Below are 8,183 nucleotides of genomic sequence, written 5' to 3'. Positions count from 1 at the left end.
CTTTTCCCCTGGTCTTTCATTGAATAGAAATCCTTGACCTGGCTATAATTCCATTCATTAATAGTTTGCTTTATGGGTTATACTTTTGAATTGTGTTTATGAAATTATTTCTCACCTCAGGTCAATTATATTCTTATTTACATTCTTCTATCAACTTTATTGGGTAATGTGTTCTTTTTTTGAGACAGATTCTCACTCTATTGCCCAGGTTGGAGTGCAGTGGCATGATCTGGGCTCACTGCAACTTCTGCCTCATGGGTTCAAGCTACTCTCGTGCCTCAGCCTCTCAAATAGCTGGGATTACAGGTGCCCACCACCTTGCCTGGCTAATTTTTGTATTTTCAGGAGAAACAGGTTTCGCCACGTTGGCCAGGCTGGTTTTGAACTCCTGACCTCAAGTGATCCTCCCACCTTGGCCTCCCAATCACACTTGGGATTGCAGGTGTGAGCCACTGCTCCTGCCAAACTTTATTGGGTCATGTTTTCTAAATAATCATTTTGGAGACAGCAGCGTTGTGTACATGGCCCTGGTCCAGCTCTCTGTGCACAGGGCATGGGCTGCATTCTTCTTTCTGAGTAGGTTTCAGCACTTTAGCCTCCAGCTTTTCAGGTTCACATTCAATGCCAGGAACTCTGAGCCATTTTGGTTTCAACCTTCAATTGCTGCTTAGACTTGAAGTTCAGTCTGTTTTTGCCATCTTAGCTTTTTTAATTTTTGCTTGGCCATATGTTTCCCCTCCAAAAAATTTATATATCTATTTATTTGAGACAGGGTCTCACTGTCATCCAGGCTGGAGTGCAGTGGCATGATCTTAGCTCACTGCAGCTCAACCTGCCAGGCTCAAGCAATCCTCCCACATCAGCCTCCTGAATAGCTGGGACTACAGGCATATGCCACCATGCCTCTCTAATTTTTGTATTTTTTGTAGAGACAGGGTTTCTCCATGTTGTTGCCCAGGCTGTTCTCCAACTCCTGGGCTCAAGTGATCCACCTGCCTTGACCTCCCAAAGTGCTGGAATTACAGGCATGAGTCACCTTGTACAGCCTCCAATTTTTTTTTTTTTTTTGAGACAGAATTTTGCTCTTGTTGCCCAGGCTAGAGTACAATGGCGCAATCCTGGCTCACTGCAACCTCTGCCTCCTGGGTTCAAGCGATTCTCCTGCCTCAGGCTGGAGTGCAATGGTGCAATCTTGACTCACCGCAACCTCCGCCCACTGGGTTCAAGTGATTCTCCTGCTTCAGCCTCCCAAGTAGCTGGGATTACAGGCATGTGCCACCATGCCCAGCTAATTTTGTATTTTTAGTAGAGATGGGGTTTCTCCATGTTGGTCAGGCAGGTCTCGAACTCCCAACCTCAGGTGATCTGCCCTCCTAGGCCTCCCAAAGTGTTGGGATTATAGGCGTGAGCTACTGCACCCGGCCCCAGATTTTTTAGCTTGTAATCCCAGCTACTCAGGAGGCTGAGGCAGGAGAATTGCTTGAGCCCAGGAGTTTGAGACCAGCTTGGGCAACATACTGAGATCCTGTCTCCCAAAATAAAAGGGATTTTATGTGTGTGTGTGTGTGTGTATATATATATATATATATATATATATATATATATATATATATATATATATTTTTTTTTTTTTTTTTTTTTTTTTTTTAAGAGAAGGGGTCTCTGTCTGTCCCTCAGGCTGGAATACAGTGGCATGATCCTAGCTCACTGTTGCCTCAAACTCCTGGGCTTCAATCCTCCCACCTCAGCCTTCCTCCCAAGTAGCTAAGACTACAGTTGTGTGCCACTACACCCAGCTAATTAAAAAATATTTTTTTTAATGCTGGGTACAGTGGCTCATACCTGATATCCTGACAGTTTGGGAGGCTAAGACAGAAGGATCACTTGAGCTCAGGAGTTCAAGACCAGCCTGGGCAACATAGTGAGACTCCATCTCTACTGAAAAAATAAAAATTATCTGGGTGTGGTGGCATGCACCTGTAGTCTTAGCTACTTGGGAAGCTGAGGTGAGAGGATCACTTGAGCCCAGGAATTTGAGGCTGCAGCTATGATTGTGCTACTGCACTCCAGCCTGGGTGACAGAGTGAGACCCTGTTAAAAACAGGATACATTTTTTTTTTAGAGATAGAATCTTACTATGTTACCCAATCTGGTCTCCAACAAACATCACCAGATATTGCAGTCAAAACATAGGTGGGCAACACACAGTTTATTCAGTTTCCTTAAGGGAAAAAAGAACTTCCCAGCCCCCTTCAGCAGCAATATATTTTTTCAGTACACACCCAGATCCTCCTACACAAGCACACCAACAAATAGGTGTGATTACACTGTGTCCAGCTCAGAATTTATTTTTAGTAAAGTTTATGCAGCATTTCTACATGTGTTGGGAGCTGAAAAGGCCAAAGGGATCGTGACCAACTCAGCATTCCACTGGAGGCTATATGATTAAACAGCCAACTGTTTATCATGAATGCAGGATGTGGGCAAACTCACACTGCGCCTGCCACCAAAAGGTTTGCTGAGGGCCATCACTCCCTGGCACCAAGCTCTTTGAAGTTATCTACTGGGAAATCTAGCTCCTATTGTTCAAAGGATGCAGTCTCGCAAGCCTGCTATGAACCAAACGGCCAATTGACAATTACCCGACAACCACCCGCTCCTTACTATCTCTTTTGCCTAATAAATATGGAGGGCTGTGCAAAGCTCAGGGTCCTTGTCCACTAGAGGCAAGGTGCCCCCTGACCCCTTCTTCCAAATATACTCTTTTGTCTTTGCCTTTTACTCCCGTGTTCGCCCCTCTTCGTTCGGTCCACCAGGGATCATGGCAGGTTACATACATGTGCAGTCTTTTTTTTTTTGAGATGGAGTCTCACTCTGTCACCCTAGCTGGAGTCCAGTGGCATGATCTTAGCTCACCACAACCTCCGCCTCCCAGGTTCAAGCAATTCTCATGCCTCAGCCTCCCAAGTAGCTGGGATTACAGGTATGAGCCACTGCGCCCAGCCCATGGGCAGTCTTGATGACAGACAGGAGAAACTTTTCACAGAAACCTTATCTTTCATGTTGATTAAGTAATTGTAATTTATTTCCCTTGTAACATTAGAAAGAAAAACCAGGTATATCTGAAAGTAACAAATTTTAGGGGGGGAATTGGCAAAAATATCTACAGAATAATTTTTTTAAGTTTTTGCCTAATGTGATATATGATGTGAAGTTTCCTCAGTGTATCCTTCTAAATGTGATATATGATGTGAAGTTTCCTCAATGTATCCTTCTAAATTGTCAGTCAAATATTCTCTTTTCATCATTGTCTGAACTTGGACAAAGGCTGCTCATAGAATCCACTCAGGTTACAATTTGGTGTTCCAATTCCACTTTTTTCCCTTAGTAGCTGTGTGACGTTGGACTAACTATACAACTTGTCAGGGTCTTAGTTTACTCATCTTGTTAATCAGGATAACAAACACGCACCTTGAGACTGTGCTGTTACATGAGGAAGGTCATGTGCATGCCTTTCTTTTCCTCCTGTGGAAAAGCAAAGAGTAAGATGGAAAGATGATAGCGAAGGGCTAAATCATTACTAACTAGCTCTGCAATATGGTGTAAGTTCCTCAGGCTCAATCTACCTCAGTGTTACCATATATGAAATAGTCTCTGAGGTTTCTTCCAAATTAACAATCCCATGTTTCGAGGGTTTGGGACTGAGTTTAAGATAAAAACTTGATAAGGCGCCTGTGCAGTTCAGTTTTTCTTTGCAAATATTTATTTATACAGGTTGAGCATTCCTATTCTGAAAGTCCAAAATCCAAAATGCTCCCAAATCTGAAACTTTTTTTCTTTCTTTTTTTTTTGTTTTTTTTTGAGACAGGATCTTGCTCTGTCGCCTAGGCTGGAGTGCAGTGGCACCACCATAGCTCACTGCAACCTTAAACTCCTGAACTCAAGTGGCCCTCCTGCTTGACCTCCCAGTAGCTGGGACCACAGGTGTGCACCAATACACCAGGCACATTTTTATTTTTTCTTTTTCTGAGATGGAGTTTTTCTCCGTCGCCCAGGCTGGAGGGCAGTGGCATGATCCCGGCTCACTGAAACCTCCACCTCCCGAGTTCAAGCGATTCTCCTTCTTCAGCCTCCTGAGTAGCTGGGATTACAGGCGTGCACCATCACACCTGCCTAATTTTTGTATTTTCAGTAGAGATGGGGTTTCACCATATTGGCCAGGCTGGTCTGGAACTCCCGACCTCAAGTGATCTGCTCACGTTGACATCCCAAAGTACTGGAATTACAGGTATGAGCCACCACACCTGGCCTCACTAGGCTAATTTAAAAAATTTTTTTTGTAAAGACAGGGTCTCACCATTTTATCCAGGCTGGTTCCAAACTCCTGGACTCAAGCAATTCTCCTGCTTTGGCTTCCGAAAGTGCTGGGATTATAAGCATGAGCCACCACACCCACCCTCTGAAACTTTTTGAGCACCAACATGACACCGCAAGTGGAAAATCCCACACCTGGTTTTATATGGTGGGTTGTAGTCCAAACATAGATACACAACATACAGTTTATTCAGCATACCTCATGGAAAAAAAGACCCTCTCAGTCCTCTTCAGCTTCAATATATCTTTTCCATACACGCCCAGATTCCGCCACGCAGGCACACTGACAAACTGTAATAAAATGGCACACGAACAGGCTGAATGCACCAATGGCAGGTTCCCCATGATGCCCCACCTGGGGCCAACACCTATGTGCATTACTCACTGTGTTTTTGTGCTCATTCTTGGCTGTGTTGTGTAAAGATACTCCTGAAAATGTCAAAAAGGCCTGCAGATACCACTATTGGTTAACAGTGGTAAGAAAAAGAGTAAGCATGTATGTCTGTAGCACAGAAAGTCAAGCTGTTGGAGAAACTGGACAGTGGTGTCAGTGTGAAACATCTTACAGAAGAGTGTGGTGTTGGAATGAACACCATATAAGACCTGAAGAGCTGGGTCCAGTGGTTCACCCCTGTAATCCCAGCACTTTGGGAAGCTGAAGCAGGCGGATCACTTGAGGCCAGGAGTTCAAGACCAGTCTGGCCAACATAGTGAAACCCCAACTCTACTAAAAATTACAAAAATTAGCCAGTTGTGGTGGCGCATGCCTGTGATCTCAGCTACTGGAGAGGCTGAGGCATGAGATTCACTTGAACCTGGGAGACAGAGCAAGACTCTGTCTCTAAATAAATAAATAAATAAATAAATAAATAAAATAAAATAAAATAAAATAAAATAAAAAGCCACCAAGCAGAATGCCTCCTCATCTCTAGATGACCCACTTCCTGGTCCCTCAACTGCTTCGGATGTTTTTTCTCACCTAAAAATTAAAATACAGTGCAATGTAACCCCTTAACCAAAAGCACAACATCGTAGGTAGAGACAACAGCTGTTGGCTGTTGTTGCAGTTTAGCGGCTGATACAGGTTTTCTGGGGATGCTACTATGCTACTTAGTTACCCTGAACACATGATTTTTGCACTGTATTAATCATATGTCATTTTTTTTTACTGTTAGGTACTTAGGTGTGAATAAGTGGAAGAAAATGACAGCTTATTGGTATATAAATCAGCGTCGGGAATGATGATGCCAAACAACCACAGACTGTCCACATGGGTGGCTGAGATAGTGACACCTTTGCTTTCTGATGGTTCAATGTGCACCATCTTTGTTTTATTCACAAAATTATTTAAAATATTGTATAAAATTTCCTTCAGGCTATGTGCATTAAGATATAGGCAACATAAATACGTTTTGTGTTTAGACTTGCATCCCAGCTCTAAGATATCTCATTATGTATAGGCAAATATTCCAAAATCTGAAAAAGTCTTAAATTTGAAACACTTCTGGTCCTAAGCATTTCAGATAAGGGATATTTAACCTGTATTCATAAATTTACTAAGTGAGGAAGATAATTTGATTTAGGAGTTAAACATCTCACATGGTAGTAGAGTGTATTGCCTAAGTTCTCTGCTTTATTCCTATACATGGGTGTGTTGTAATCAACTGCAAGAGTGGTGTCAAATAATTTATGTTTAAAATTATGAATTGAAGTGTTAAGTCCAATGGAAGAAAAAAGGAGAGCAGGGAGGAGGTACGGAAATACTGAAGATACTGGCTGGGTGCAGTGGCTCACACCTGTAATCCCAGCACTTGAGAGGCCGAGGTTTGCAGATTGCTTGAGCCCAGGAATTTGAGACCAGCCTGGGAAACATAGCAAGACCCCATCTCTACAAAAGATTAAAAACAAATAGCCAGGTATGGTGGTGCGTGCCTGTGGTCCCAGCTACTCGGGAGGCTGAGGCAGGAGTATTGCTTTAGCCCAAGGGGTTGAGGCTGCAGTGAGCTATGCTGGTGCCTTTGCACTCCAGCCTGGGTGACAGAGTGAGACCCTGTCTCATAAAAAGAAAAAAAGAAAGAAGAAGAAATACTGGAGATATGTTGGGGAAGGCACTGACTAAAATCTGCGTTTACTTTGTTTGAAAGTGTACTTAAACACTTATTTCTAACGAACAACATTGAGACTAATTTAAATTTTCTGGTGTGACTTTGCTTAATCCGATGATCTTGTGAAAGTTCTAGTTACCAGTAGAAACCAATTTTTCCTTCTAGTTCAAAATGACAAAGAATCAAGAGAAACAGAACTAATAAGGGCTCCCTGTGCTTATATTTTTACTGTTTTACGAGTCATCCATCTTCAATGAAATTTTTTTTCTTACAGGTAATCTAAATTGTTCTATGATAATTGGAAAATAACAGGATATTCTTAGATAACTGTGAGCAGGAGGCTCAAAACTGGTTCCTGTTGGAAACAGTTGCAGAGCTTTCAAGAAATACGCACATGTATACACACAAAGGGGCCTCTCCCTCAACAACGAAGGAGCAGCTAAACCGCATAGCTGCAGAAGGCCATCGATCACATTTATTACATTGCAGACAGCAGCAATTTTAAGTGAGGCTGGGCTTCCCAAATGAATTCCAATAATTCAAGTTATGATTCCTAAACTGTGTGTCAGACAAATTCAATATTACTTTTAGGGAAAAAAAGTTGAAATTATTAGTTCCATTATACAAGTAAGAGAACTTGGGTTTTATTACTTTAATCATTAATAAAGACATTACAATCCACTTGGTGATTTTTTTCAAATAAAAGAATGAGATAAATTGTGCAAATCCTACTTACTGCATTATAGTTGCATAAATGGTCATGCGTTTTTTGTTTTGTGTTTTGTTTTCTTACATCAGAAATAGATTTATTTTGGTGTCTATTTTGGATTTTGGAGACTACTTTTTTGGTTTTTGTTTTTTTCCAAAATGGAAATCTTTTTTGTTGTTTTTGCTGATTATAAATGTAATTTGTGGTCATGAAAAAGAAAAGAATACCGAAGAATATAAGGTATTTATACAAGAATAAAGTGAAATTGCCCCCAGATAATACCTTTTGGGGATATGTGGTTAAAACAAAACAAAACAAAAAGTAATTGATGTTATTTTCCAGAGCTTATTCCATCCATCCATCCATCCGTCCATCCATCCATCCATCCGTCCATCCATCCATCCATCCATCCATCCATCCATCCATCCATCCATCCATCGATCCATGCCATCTTTCCATATTGAAGAGCAGAGAGTTTGGGAAAGGCAGGAAGGAATGAATTCTTCTCAGAGAGAGGAGGACTCACACACAGTCCGTCATCGCAGCACTGTTCAGGCTGGCCTGGGAGCCGAGGATGGTAGCCCTGTTGTGTGGTGTCTGCAGAGCTGTGTGCTGGGAGTTTGGATCTCCACACTCTCGTTTTAGCCAGGTTTCTAACTCATGTAAGACAATGGGCAAATCATGCAACCTCATCTATGAAATGTGTGTCCTTTGCATGCTAGTACACACTGAATTTTTGTTTGTTTGTTTTGAGACAGGGTCTGGCTCTGTCACCCAGGCTGGAGTGCAGTGGTGCAATCTCAGCTCACTGCAACCTCTGCCTCCCGGGCTCAAACAGTGCTCCTACCTCAGCCTCCTGAGTAGCTGAGACTACAGGTGCACGCCACCATGCCTGGCTAAGAAAGGGATTATTAATTTCTTTTATTTCCTTTTTGTTGTTTGTTTGAGACAGATTCTTGCTCTGTCTCCCAGGCTGGAGTGCAGCAGCATGATCT

Source organism: Homo sapiens, chromosome 7 (genome assembly GCF_000001405.40).
Source record: "Homo sapiens chromosome 7, GRCh38.p14 Primary Assembly".
NCBI classification, from domain to species: domain Eukaryota; kingdom Metazoa; phylum Chordata; class Mammalia; order Primates; family Hominidae; genus Homo; species Homo sapiens.
The sequence above is the reverse complement of the archived record's forward strand: the minus strand, read 5'-3'. Positions refer to the sequence as shown.